General features: G+C 37.3%; 1 protein-coding gene across 86 annotated transcripts in view, besides 1 other annotated feature; it reads left to right on the forward strand.

The window, feature by feature from the left end:
* The window catches only part of PARPBP (PARP1 binding protein), a 77,338-nt gene that overhangs the window by 31,682 nt on the left and 31,180 nt on the right, over nucleotides 1-14,476 (forward strand). For 39 of the 86 annotated variants that reach the window (XR_007063095.1, NM_001400870.1, NM_001319993.2 and 36 more), the window contains 3 exons: nucleotides 2,005-2,112; nucleotides 12,574-12,744; nucleotides 13,865-14,019. Coding sequence is in view for 83 of the 86 variants with exons in the window: in NM_001400870.1 (NP_001387799.1) it covers nucleotides 2,005-2,112; nucleotides 12,574-12,744; nucleotides 13,865-14,019 (434 nt within the window). In the remaining 3 variants the exon portion in view is untranslated. Of the gene's footprint in view, nucleotides 1-2,004; nucleotides 2,126-2,962; nucleotides 3,859-12,573; nucleotides 13,012-13,864; nucleotides 14,020-14,476 lie in introns of those variants that run through there. The other 47 variants (NM_001400925.1, NM_001382721.1, NM_001400873.1 and 44 more) reach the window with 13 other exon arrangements.
* Nucleotides 1,097-1,598: an enhancer, noted in NCBI's record as "H3K4me1 hESC enhancer chr12:102546739-102547240 (GRCh37/hg19 assembly coordinates)". NCBI's record gives its function as "activates a minimal SCP1, AML or CMV promoter by ChIP-STARR-seq in primed H9 embryonic stem cells {active_cell/tissue: H9 hESC(primed)}" and the evidence as "EXISTENCE:reporter gene assay evidence [ECO:0000049][PMID:30033119]".

Here is a 14,476-nt window from a genome sequence, read left to right on the forward strand (position 1 = left end):
TCCAAGCTGAGAAGAAGGAACCAGGGACCCAAGGAGCTTCAGTTTAATATAAAACCAGGAGCAAACCTCCGAAGTCCAGGCATCTCAGAGAAATGCTTTTTTTGTGTACCATGGTTACCAAATACAGAGCTAGATTTTATTTTTGTAAATATTTGCATCTCCTGCTTTATCAAAAAGTTTTCTTTTTTCTTCCTAAAAACCAAAGAATGCTTTTATTTCCAACTGCATCCCTTGCTCTGCTGCTTCCTCGCTCCTCTTCCTAGATGTTGGGCAGGTGGGCTGGGTCTTCTCAGGGATGCAGATGAAAGCTTGTTGCTAGAGTGGAATAAAAAAGGGCAGCCCCTGTTCGAAATCTCAGACTGGATTGAAAAACACAGGACATAATATAGTCTAAGTCCATCTAGGATCTTCTGTTTTAAGAGACAGGTGTAAAGATTTACTCTCAAACTGCAGGATGGGTGGAAAGTATTCCAGATCAAGGTTCCAGTTCTCCCTGGGAGCACCCACATTTCTTTTAAGGTTTCTAGCAGAGATGTAATGATGAAATTACTCACAAAAGGGATTAGATGCAGGCTGGTAGTTGCAGTTACTGGGTTACTATAAATTTCGTGTATTGATGTTCTACATATGTGGTAAGAATTTATTTACTGTGTAGTATGTTTAAACATTTGTAAGTTTTATGAGCTAGTTCCTCCTGTGTAAGCTGACAATTCAAGTTGTTCACTGTTTTCCTGTGACAGTTATTATCTGGTTATAAAATTATCAGATAAAAATAAGAGAAGGTTATTACTTTTTCAAATACAACATGAAAGTATAAAAAAGCAGACTTTCCTTTGTAATTGCATAACATTGAGATAAATACTTCAGAGTAATTTCATCTGATACTTATTAAAAATCATTTTCATGACGATTAAAAAAAAAAGGGTTCCCAACCCTTTGGTAGATCAATTCAGACCAAAATTAGTTTCTTGAAAATTAAGCACAATAAATATTTAAAGCACAAAGAAAAATATTAGGTAAAGAAATCATGAAGTACTTAGTAATTTTCCAAGTAGAAGAACAGTAAAACAAAAAAAAAAAAAAAGGAAAAAGAGGAGTTAAACAGAAACAGATGCATAAGAGGCTATAATTAAGTACATAATAATTTGATATAAATATATTTGTTATAAGACGTATTTTCCTTAGCTGAAACAAAAGCAGATAGCACCGTTATTGTAGGTTGGCCTTTTGAGATATCTTTTCAGGTTCTTTGCATGTCTGACACCCATGGTTCCACCTGGACCTACCCAGAAGCAATTCAGCATGCAGGACGACAGCTTTGATCCCCTATGATATCATCTCTGCCTCCACCAATCAGCAGCAAGCCTAGCCACCCCTCACTCCTTCTTCCAAATTGCCTTTGAAAACCCCCTAACCTATGAGTTTTGGATGAGATTGGTTTGAATACTACCTGTCTCCCACGTGGCATGGCCAGCCTTGTGCCTATTAAACTCTTTTTTGAGACAGGGTATCACTCTGGCGCCCAGGTTGGAGTGCAGTGGTGTAGTCGCAGCTCACTGCAGCCTTCCTGGGCTCAAGTGATCATCCCACCTGAGCCTCTTGAGCAGCTGGGACTACAGGCACATGCCACCATGCCCAGCTAATGTTTTGCATCTTTCGCAGAGACAGAGTTTCGTTGTGTTGCCCAGGCTGGTCTTGAACTCCCGGGCTCCAGCAATCCACCTGCTTTGGCCACACAAAGTGAGGATTACAGGTGTGAGCCACGGTACCTGACCCTAAACTCTTTCTTTACTGCAGTTATGTGGTCTTTATTTGTGTAGCACACAGGAAGAACCCATGGGCAATTACATTATGAAGTTTAATTATATGTATTCTTAATGATTGCTAACAACTGTCAGGTAATACTCTCAACTGAAACATCAATGACACTGAGTAGAGCTTTATGTGAAGTATTTTTTATAGTCAGCATAGCATTTTATTAGTAATACTCTATGTTTTCTACAGAGTCAACTACTGGATTTTCTGTCTGGCAAACAGTATGCAGTAGGTGATGAAACTGATCTTTCTATACCAACATCACCAACAAGTAAATACAACCGTGATAATGAAAAGGTACTGATAAACTGTGAGTAAATTAAAGCAGACTATAATCCCTTTCAAATCACTGAATTTGGTGGTACCTTAAAGTTACTAATGCTTTGTAAAAATTTTTTTAACAAATCTTTAGTATGTTTAAAACTGTATTCGCAAAGAATAATACATTGGAGGCTGGTGAGAATGTGATAAAAGAGTCTTTATGGTTTGGGGCCAAGGTAACAGGCATTGAACAAAAATAGTTATCATTCAAAGTATCAGGAAAGTAATTGAAGGTCCAGTTTGTCAGAGTTCTTTGACTCTCTTTGGTAAACTTCACATTTACTCTTTTAGATGGTTCATCCTTGGGAGAATATGCTCAACTGAAAAATCTGGTCTGTACCCCTTGCAGTAGTACAGCTCATATATCAGGAGTTTGGATGATAGGGTTTGTCGTATAAACCACCGAAAAGTAGTGCCACATACAAGTTTGGTTTAATATAATTTACGTTCAGCTGAATACTATGCTGGGTACCTAAACATATATGGTAACCCCACTAACCATAGTAGTAGTACTTACGAAAACGGGGACTAAACTATGACCTTTTTTCTCTCTTGCCCAAATTCCTATTTAAGGGGCCTGGGGAGTCATACCTTCTAAACTGTAACATCTCATCAGATGGGTTTTATTTAACCCTCTATAATGTGGTTTACTTTCCAGCCTGACTCTGGCATAACATCACATGACAGATAGAGAAGGAAATAAAAATATTTTACCCCAAAATATGTTTCTTTGCCATATTTTGAAATGGTCCTACAAAGCTGTCTTTTGTGGAGGAAAATTTGCGTTTGTAAAGGATATCAATTAACTAAATCTTTCCCCTTCCAGGCCCTCCCAGTCCTGAAGAGATAACTGAGAGTCTAGCACCTTTTAATAGGAAGCATTTGCCATCTATTGTTTCTAAGGGTGGCCACCTATGAGACGTCATCTACATAATAAGAACCTTGGTCTTCACAATCCCATATCTTAAACCAGAGACTCCTTTCTACTGATTCCAGGTCTTTAGATAATAATTCTTTCAACCAATTGCTTGCCAATCAGAAAATCTTTGAATCTACCTATGACCTATAAGCCCCATTTCAAGGTGTCCCACCTTTCCAGGCTGAACCAATCTTTACCTCACATGTACTGATTGATGTCTTATGTCTCTCTAAAACATATATTACCTCAGCTACTTGGGAGGCTGAGGCAGGGGAATTGCTTGAACCAGGGAGGTGGAGGTTACAGTGAGCTGAGATCACACCACTGCACTCCAGCCTGAGTGACAGAGGAAGACTCCATCTCAAAAAAAAACAAAAACAAAACAAAAAAACCATATATAACCAAGCTATAACCCAACCACCTTGGGCACATGTTCTCAGGATCTCTTGAGACTATGCCTCAGGCCATTGAGAGACAGGACTAGCTGGATTTCCTAGGCCGACTAAGGATTCCTAAGCCTAGCTGGGAAGGTGACCGCATCCACCTTTAAACAAGTGGCTTGCAACTTAGCTCACACTCAACCAATCAGGTAGTAAAGACAGCTCACTAAAATGCTAATTAGGCTAAAACAGGAGGTAAAGAAATAGCCAATCATCTATCGCCTGAGAGCATGGTGGGGGGGGGGGGCGGGGACAATGATTGGAATATAAACCCAGGCATTCGAGCAGGAACTTCAACACCCTTTGGGTCCCCTCCCATTTTATGGGAGCTCTGTTTTCACCCTATTAAATCTTGCAACTGCACACTCTTCTGGTCCGTGTTTGTTATGGCTTGAGCAGAGCTTTTGCTCCAGTCCACCACTGCTGTCTGTGGCTGTTGCAGACCTGCTGCTGACTTTGGTAGGATGTCCGCTGTGCTCCTGATCTAGCCAGGCGCTCATTGCTGCTCCCAAGCGGCTAAAGGCTTGCCATTGTTCCTGCATGGCTAAATGCCCAGGTTCATCCTAATCGAGCTGAACACTAGTCGCTGGGTTCCACGGTTCTCTTCCGTGACCCACGGCTTCTAATAGAGCTATAACACTCACTGCGTGGCCCCAGATTCCATTCCTTGGAATCTGTGAGGCCAAGAACCCCAGGTCAGAGAACAAGAGGCTTGCTGCCATCTTGAAAGTGGCCCGCCACCATCTTGGGAGCTCTAAGAACAAGGACACCCTGATAACACCATGATCACTCATATTTGGCTCAGAATTAACCTTCCTTTTTTTTTTTTTTTTTTTTTTTTTTTTGAGACGGTGTCTCCTTCTGTCACCCAGACTGGAGTGCAGTGGCGCAATCTCGGCTCATTGGAAGCTCCGCCTCCCGTGTTCATGCCATTCTCCTTCCTCAGCCTCCCGCGTAGCTGGGACTACAGGTGCCCACCACCACACCCAGCTAATTTTTTTTTTTTGTATTTTTAGTAGAGATGGGGTTTCACCCTGTTAGCCAGGTTGGTCTCAATCTCCTGACCTCGTGATCCGCCCACCTTGGCCTCCCAAAGTGCTGGGATTACAGGTGTGAGCCACTGCGCCCGGCCCAGAATTAACCTTAAATATTTTACGGGGCTTAACTCTTGGCAAAGTTTCTGTGATTAATAAAATCACCATTGACAAGATGAGAATTTAAGAGTGTTGAAAAAAGTAAAATTATATTCAACATATTTTAATTATTTTTGTTTTATTTATTTTGCTTATTATTTTTTTGAGGCAGAGGCTTACTGTGTTGCCCAGGCTGAAGTGCAGTGTGGCACGATCTCCACTTACTGCAACCACTGCCTCCCAGGTTCAAGCGATCCTCCCACCTCAGCCTCCCAAGTAGCTGGGATTACAAGCGTGCACCACCACGCCTGGCTAAGTTTTGTATTTTTAGTAGAGACCAGGTTTTACTATGATGGTCAGGCTGGCTTCGAACTCCTGACCTCAAGTGATCTGCCTGCCTTGGTCTCCCAAAGTGCTGGGATTACAGGCATGAGACACTGTGCCCAGCCAACATATTTTAGAAATATGATATGTAAATGGTCTAGAATGCATTTACTTCCAAAATCACCTGTTCCAGTAAGTTAACACATTTGGTGAATCACCTTCATTTTTGACAAACATTGCTGAGGTAGATTCTTCTATATGTCCCATGTTAAATAGATTGCACTTAAAATATATATTTTATCAGTGCCCTCAAATACTTGTATGTCTCTTGTAATACTCTTGTATGTCTCTTGTAATACTCTTGTAATACTCTAGATTTAATAAAGTGTTTTATATGTGCATCTGATATTTTTTCTGTCCTATTTGAAAGTAAGTTGCTGACATGTGGGTCCCTGGAATTCTTTAGCGTACATTTCCTAAAAGTAATGGCATAACCGCAATATAAGAAATAAGAAAATTTAAATAAGTATTTTAAAATATCATTTACTAACTTCCATATTTAAATTTCTCCATTTGTCCCCAAAATGGTTTTATATCTCCTTAGACTCTTTTACTCCAGAAGAATTCCCCTAATCTTTTTTTTTTTTAATTTTCTGATTAATTCCTTGTGGTATTATTTAACTTGTTTCTCTATTTGCTGTATTTCCAATAAACTGGAAGTGATATCTGAAATCTTGCTTAGATTTTGGTTTAATATTTCCTAAGAAATACTTCTTAACTGATGCAGAGTATTTCATTTTATATCTTATTGGGAAACAAACTCAGGTTATCCTGAATTGCCAGGTCTCTCCAGTACAAAGATGTAGTTTTTCCTTTGCTGTCAGCAAAGATCTGTGAGGTGACACTTTGGCACTGTATAAATAATCCTGTTTCTCAATAACCTTTTATCTAATGGTTTTAAGCATTGATGATCCTGACTTGAATCAGTTATTTCTGTAGTATCTATAGAATAGTGAGCTTCTGGCCAGGCACGGTGGCTCACGCCTGTAATCCCAGCACTTTGGGAGGCTGAGGCGAGTGGATCACAAGGTCAGGAGATCGAGACCATCCTGGCTAACACGGTGAACCCTCGTCTCTACTAAAAATACAAAAAAGTAGCCAGGTGTAATGGTGGGCGCCTGTAGTCCCAGCTACTCTGGAGGCTGAGGCAGGAGAATGGCGTGAACCTGGGAGGCGGGAGCTTGCAGTGAGCCGAGATGGTGCCACTGCACTCCAGCCTGGGAGGGAGTGCGAGACTCCATCTCAAAAAAAAAAAAAAAAAAAAAAAGAATAGTGAGCTTCTAATTCTGTTATGTCTTTACATTAATTACTTGCCATTTCTCAATAAAGCTTTATCTTATCAAATGAGATGAAGTACCCTTCTCTAAAAATCTCAGGGTAACTCCTCAATTCTCTACCAATTTAGGGGTTAGTGTAATAGTTATATATAATATAAGCAAATTAGATATTTATTCTTTTATTGCTCTCCTTTTTGTGTGTCTATTGTTTGGATTCATGAATTTATATTTATTCACTGTTTTAAAATGAGTTACACTCATTAATCTTTGATGCTAAAATAGAGGAAGCTGCTTCAAGCAGGTTTTTGTGTCTTTTTTACATGCTCTAGTAGACTTTTCAAGCATTTTCCTCTTTTCTGGTACAAGAAAATATCCCAAGCCCACCTTGAATGTTTCCTGCCCAGACCTGGTTCCTTTTAGAGATTTGTAACTATTTTCTCTTGCTTGAAATTAATTTTTCACTTACATTTCCTTTCTTTTCCCTTGATGCTCCAAATCTTGACAAAGTGATTGCCAAATTGCCTGATCTTTTCTCGGTGGCGCTTAAGCAGTGTATTTGTGTATCAAAAGGGTAGATTACTTAAAGATCTCTTTTATCTATCCTGTATGTACTACAGGGAGGAAATTATAATTGTTATATTTGTATTTTTAAAGAGGAATGAACCAATTTGTATATGTGAAAAGAATTAAGCTTTTAGAACTTCGGCTTATAAAGTTTAAAGGAGTATCTGTGACTAAAGATTATAAGCATGTAGTTTCCTGATTTAAACAACACTGATAGTTTCATTGTGTTAATTCTCTAATTTCTAACTTTTGCTTTCTTGGATTATATTTTCTAATAGAATTTTACCTACTAGTTCAACTAATGGATTTGATTTTCTGAGGAGTATTAAATTGGCAGCCATCTTCCTAACCATGCTTCTGTTACTTGCAGTTTCTAATTTTTCTTTTTACAAGGTCTTTTTGGAAGTCAGTGTATTTCTTTTTTCCCCTCTGAGACGGAGTTTCACTCTGTCACCCAGGCTGGAGTGCAGTGGTGTGATCTCAGCTCACTGCAACCTCCGCCTCCTGGGTTCAAGCAATTCTCCTGCCTTAGCCTCCTGAGCAGCTGGGATTACAGGCCGTGCCACCACGCCTGGCTAATTTTGTATTTTTAGTAGAGACAGGGTTTCACCATGTTGGCCAGGCTGGTCTTGAACTCCTGATCTCGTGATCCACCCACCTCGGCCTCCCAAAGTGCTGGAATTACAGGCGTGAGCCACCGCACCCAGCTGGAAGTCAATGTAGCTCTAATTAAAATCCTAATGTGAATTTTTGGGCTTCAGTCTTGCAGAGAAATATTTTGACCATCAAATGTGTTTACTAATATGACACCAGTCTTCAAGTAGGTGAATGGATTGAATTTGAGAAACAATATTTTTGTTTCCTTATTTTATTTTACTTCATTTTATTTTTCCTAAGGTACTAAACCATTGCTTTTAAAATTCTGAAGTAATGAAGGGAATAATAGAATAAAGGCCAGAAAAAGAAAATCATCAGTTAAAAAAAAAAATCTACTAAGTATCTTAGTTTTTGTCCAACTTTTTTTTTGTCAGTATATATAAGCATTTATGCATTGGCAAACAAAAGTTAAAAAAAGACCCTGTATAAATTGTTAATCTTCTCAGCTTAGAAAAACTGACTTTCTTCAAACTGAGGTTGAATATCTGCCTCTCAGTAAGAAGAGATAGGAAAAGAAACTTGGAATTATCAGAAAGCTTAAATAAAATTGTCCAGCTTCTAAACAAACATTGCAAATACTTTGTGGTATGGATATAATCAGTTTATTAAACAAATAAACAGAACAGTATCCTTATTTTTGGTGTTTTGGTAAAGGCTTCAATCTTGTGGATGTTTTCAATTTAGGCCCTTGCTCTTGGACATCATAACTATACTTATGTGGACTGCTTTTCCAGGGAACCTCTTTAAAACTCACTTGTAAATACAAGAGCAAGGAAACCATAACAGCCATGTTATCTGACCATAATAAGAGGGATAGATTTCCAATTGCAGCCATGAGCTAAAAGAAACACTCTAACTGTGAGGACTCCAAGATGTTTTTCCCTGAAGTTTGCCCAACATCACAGATCAGAAGGACAAAATTTGCTAACCTTAAAGAGCAAGTTGTAGATGTGAGAGCTTAAGCCCTGGTTTTGTACCCAATTAGGATCAGGTATATACATATTTGTTAAGTTCTTGTTATTTTTGAACAGCAGAAGCACAGTGACATAGAGATTGCATTAAGTTAAATGTAGGAAAAGTTTCTGATTACAATGTGAATGTCACTTTTTCTCTGCTTTGATTTTCGGTAAATTGTGTTATTCTTCTCAGATGTCAAAGGAATACAAAGAATTGTGTCTTAGACTATTGCACTGTGAAGTTAAAATGGAAACTCATATTATAGACTTGTGTAATAGAAGTATTGTGATTTACTGTGAAAGTAAAGATAAAAGGACATTTGAAATATGAGCAGAGGCTGGGCATGGTGGTTAACGCCTGTAATCCCAGCACTTTGGGAGGCTGAGGCAGGCAGATCACCTGAGGTTAGGAGTTTGACACCAGCCTGACCAACATGGAGAAATCCCGTCTCTACTAAAAATACAAAATTAGCCAGGCGTGGCGGCACATGCCTGTAATCTCAGCTACTTGGGAGGCTGAGGCAGGAGAATCACTTGAACTTGGGAGGCTGAGGTTGTGGTGAGCCGAGATCGTGTCATTGCACTCCAGCCTGGGCAACAAGAGGGAAACATCATCTCAAAAAAAAAAAATATATATATAATCAGAAAACTATATTATACATTATTTTATAAAATTTTAGGAGAAGCCTTAAAGCTTATTTTTATTTGGTTGTGACTTAGAATACCTTTCTTTGTAAGGCACCATAATAAAAAATATGGCATTTATTTTATCCCAGGTAAGTTTTTTTTTCTTTGGAGACAGTCTCATTCTGTCGCTCAGGCTGGAGTGCAGTAGCATTATCTTGGCTCACTGCAATCTACACCTCCCAGGTTCAAGTGATTCTTGTGCCACAGCCTCCCGAGTAGCTGGGATTACAGGTGTGTGCCACCACGTCCAGCTAATTTTTTTGTATTTTTAGTAGAGACAGGGTTTCGCTGTGTTGGCCAGGCTGGTCTTGAACTCTTGGTCTCAAGTGACCCACCTGCCTTGGCCTCCTAGTGGTGGGATTACAGGTGTGAGCCACCACACCCAGCCTCAGGTAAGTTTTTCTTAATAGATTTTTAATTTTGAAATTTTTAAAGAGTCAAATTTATGTATTAATTTTTCTTTCATTCATCATTGAATGAAAACTCATTGAGAACCTATTGACAAAAACAGATTGATTACCTACTATAATGCGAGTCATTCTGTTAGGATCTAAGGACAGATGATTTGCTCTCATGGAACTCACAAAGTAATAGGAGGATTAAGAAACGTTATCAGAAAGTGGCTAGGCATGGTGGCTCATGCCTGTAATCCCAGCACTTTGGGAGGTCAAGGCAGGAGGATCACTTGAGCCCAGGAGTTCAAGATTAGGCTGGGCAACATAGTGAAATATTGTATCCTTAAAAAAATATTAAAAAGAAAAGTATGCAGAGAATTATAATAGGGTGATATGCAGAGTTATCACAGGATGGCAGGAAAGAGAATACATGAATGTCTACTTTAGACTGGGGAATCAGGGAGCATCTCTGAAAAGGTAACATTTACTTAATATGCAAGAAAAAATCTTTCTCATGGTTAATCTTTAAACTTTGTTTTCTTGTAATTAATTTTGCTTAAATTCTATCTCGAGTCCATATTTAAGGCAATGCTTTCCTGTCCAGTGAAGTTTTTCTTTTAAATTGACCCTGCCTGCCTCCTACTTTTTAATAATTGTTTTTTGCATGGGAACTTAAACAGTCAAAATATATTATCTTTTGAATTTATTTTAAGGTGTATATGCTTAACAACTATCTAAGAGGCTTGCTAAGGATTTGTAATTTTTTATTGCTGCCTTTTTTAGTTTCTTTTATGCTTCAAAAATTTAACATGTGATTAGATTGAATATGATGAAATTTTAGTTTTAATAAGGGAAATATTTTCTTAGCATTTACAGATGATAAATTCCGGGGATATTAGTTGTGACTGAAATTACTGAAGGATTTTTGAATTTCATGTGTTTTGAGTGGGAATCGAGTTTAGAATTCGTGAGTCTGTTATCTGAGGGAATAGGCAAGAATATGATTTCAAGTGGACAGTTTGGGAACAATAAGAATTAGAAACAGGATTCTAGAGCAGAAGGTGGGATCGAAGTAGTTGAGAAGGCAAAAATAGGAAGAAAATTCCATGCAAGGAATTTAATTTTGCGCTGCTCATGGTGGCTCACACCTGTATTCCCAGCACTTTTGGAGGTCAAGGCAGAAGGATCACTGGAGCCCAGGAGTTCAACACCAACCTGGGCAACATAGTGGGACCTTTTCTCTACAAAAAATAAAAACGTTTTGCTGCTTGTGGTGGCACATGCCTGTAATCCTAGCTACCGGGGAAGCTGAGGCAGAAGGATCACTTAAGCCTGGGAGGTTGAGGTTACAGTGTGCCCTGATTGTGCCACTGCACTCCAGCCTAACAGCAAGACCCTGTTTCTCAAAAAAAGAAAAAAAAAAAAGGAATTTGATTTTGATGAAATGAAATTTATCTTTTTATTTTTCCTTTTCTCATTGTGCTTCTGGTGTCTTATGTAAGAACTCTTTGCCTTATTCCAGGTCATGAAGATTTTCTATTATGTTTTCTTTTAAAAGTTTAATAGTTTATGTTGTACATTTATAGACTTATGATCCACTTTGAGTTTACTTTTATAAAAGGTGTGAAGTTTAAGTTGAAGTTCATGTGTTTTGCATATGGATGACCAATTGCTCCAACACCAATTATTGAAAAGACTGTCTTTTCTTCATTGTTCCTTTTGCACATTTGTGAAAAATCAGATTGCTATATTTGTGTTGGTCTATTTCTGCACGCTATTCTGTTCCATTGAGCTGAGTGTTCTTTTGTAAATACTACTCTATCTTAATTATTGTAATCGTATAGTAATTTAGATTGTTTCTCAGCATTTTTAATATACTGTTCCAATATCATCTGGCCTACATACTTCTGGATGATTTGTTAACCTTATTATTGTTCCTCTGTAGGTAATGTGTCATTTTGTTCTGGCTGCACTCAAGATTTTCTCTTACTTTTGGCTGTCAGAGTTTATATTCATTTTGTTTGGTTTTCCTACTTAAATAGCTTATTGGATCTATAAGTTAATGTTTTCTACTAAATTTGGGATGCTTTGGGACAAAATGTATTCATGTATTTTTTCTACTCTTTTCACTTCTCTTCAGGGATTCCAATTACGTGTATGTTTGACCTCTTAAATTGTCTCATTAATCCCTTTGATTCTTTCATCTTTTTTGTTGTTGTTGTTCTCCTTTGTTTTTCAGATTTGATAATATCTATTGGTTTGTCTATAAGTTCAACAATACTTTCTTCTACTCTCTCCAAGTTGCTGTTGAACCCATCAAGCAAATTTTGTTTTACTTATTGTACTTTTCATTTCCAGAATTTATTTTGTCCACTTTTCTGTTGACATTCCCTCTGTTAATTTGTTGGTAACAGATATTCTTTTAATTCATTGAACATATTTCCTGTTAATATCTTGAACATAATTCATAATAACTGCCTTGATGTTTTTCTCCTAAACTCAGCATCTAGGTCTACTTGGTGACAATTTCTGTTGACTACTTTTTACCTTGAGTAGGGGGGGCACACCTTCTTTTTTCTTTGTTTATTGATTTTTGGATGAAAACTGGATATTATAGGTAATATTTTATAACAACTCTGGATTCCTCTATGTTCTTCTGAGAAATATTGTGTTTTCGTGCTAGTGGGCAACTGACTTGCCTGAATTCCAACTTAATACTCTGTCTCCATTCTATGTTGGTATACAACTGCTGATATCTGTTCTTGAGTCTTCCTTTGCTGCTTTTTTTAGCTGGATTTTTGTAGGTCTCCCCTCTGCCTGCCAAATTTGGTAGTCAGTCAAGAATTTGGGGAGAGATGGAGTTTATTGATTGCCCAACCTGTTTTTATATGGCAGTTTTATTTTTCTAAAGAGTTAAGTGAGGTATTGTGATTGAATGATTACATACATTTTTACTGCTTATGAAAAAGATTATGGATTTAGAAGAACTGCAATAAAGAAATTAACTGAATATTTTATTGCACAGGTGCAGCTGCTAGCAAGGAAAATTATCTTTTCATATTTAAATCTGCTAGTGAATTCAAAGAATGACCTGGCTGTGGCTTATATTCTCAATATTCCTGATAGAGGACTAGGAAGAGAAGCCTTCACTGATTTGAAACATGCTGCTCGAGAGAAACAAATGTCTATCTTTTTGGTATGGTTGTGTGACATGTTCAAAATTAAGACTCCTTGCACAGTGGATCCATGTATCCTAATATGCTTGTAACTAGGATGAAACAACTTTTAAGTGGTTAATTTATGTTCTACCTCTGTATTTGAAAATCCATGGTATTTTAATTTTTTACCATATCGTTCAAGTTTGGTAAAGGAGAATTTCTCTAAAGCAGTGTTTCCTTACATATGTTCTGTATAGTGCTAGCCCTGATAAATTCTCTGTGAATAAATGTTTCCAGTGTCAAAACGTTTCTGTTAAATGTTCTTTGAATAAATGTTTCCAAGGGCAAAATGTTTAGAAGTAGTATATACCCTTATTGGTTATACATAATCCATGATTGTATATAAGAGCTCTGAGAAGTCCTGCCATAAAGAAATCTGCTTGTAGCAAATTAAGCTTGTTATTTAATCTGTTGTTTCCTAATTTATTTGACCATAGAACTTTCCCCTAAATTATCGACATTTCACAGGATTTGTCTTTCTTAGAATGTACCTTGGAACATTTCATGTTTGATTGGAACACTTACGTACAGCTATCACATATGTATTTTTATCATTGTAAGGACAAGCCTTTTGAACTATACATGATCCCAGGATGGGAAAGCTGGATGTAACTTAGTGATTATCTAGTCTGTATTTTTATTTTACAAATAGAGAGGCTGAGGTTTGGAAGTGTTAAATTGCCCAACCAATTCACCTGTTTAACACAACAGATCAGCTGACGCTAAAAATTCCCTTGTTCCATGTAACAATTTCAATAGCTAGTAGTCAACTATATTATAATATATTCATAAATGAGTTCTTTAGAGTCAATAATACATTCTAATTAATATACTTTAGCTCTTAATTTGTCCCCTAACTCAGCTCCTCAGCCTCAATCTGCAGCTGGGTGTCATTGCCACCACACTTGCTAGCATGAATTCTGCATGGCATTTGTTTCTTTGGTTATTTACTTCTGACTCAAAGTGTGTCATGAGCCATAAAATGTGCTTCACTTTTAACTGTATACCCAGAATTATATAGATTTACTTAGCTTTATGAAGTAAATTACAGTTTAATAAATCACTGGACATAACTTATCCGTTTGTTTTAATTCATAGGTGGCCACGTCTTTTATTAGAACAATAGAGCTTGGAGGGAAAGGATATGCACCACCACCATCAGATCCTTTAAGGACACATGTAAAGGGATTGTCTAATTTTATTAATTTCATTGACAAATTAGATGAGATTCTTGGAGAAATACCAAACCCAAGGTAATGACTTTTCATATATTACAAATATGTTTTTAATCTATCTTTAAAACTTTACAGAATTGGGTAGAAATAAGGGATATTGAAATGACCAAGCATCAGACCAAACGGTGAGGCGAAGAAACAAAATCTAGATGAATAAATTATAATCACATGACCTTACCTCCTAAATTTCTGCCTGTGATTCTGAGTTTTGGCCAAAGTCAAAAGTCACATCCATACTAAATTTGATTAGAGAAGAGAGTTACCATTTATTTTTATCTGGATGAAATAGATTTTTGAGGACTGGCAATGAGCAGACAGATAATTTCTGTATATTTTTTATTTAGCAATAAAGGAAACTGATATCAAGAATGAGTAAGAAAATTGACAAAGATATGAAATCCCTATTCTATTTTCTGTTGTTTTTCATTTTCTTATGTGCAAATCTTTGGTTCATCTGGGATTTGTTTTTATATGA

Source organism: Homo sapiens, chromosome 12, assembly GCF_000001405.40.
Source record: "Homo sapiens chromosome 12, GRCh38.p14 Primary Assembly".
Taxonomy (NCBI): Eukaryota; Metazoa; Chordata; class Mammalia; order Primates; family Hominidae; genus Homo; species Homo sapiens.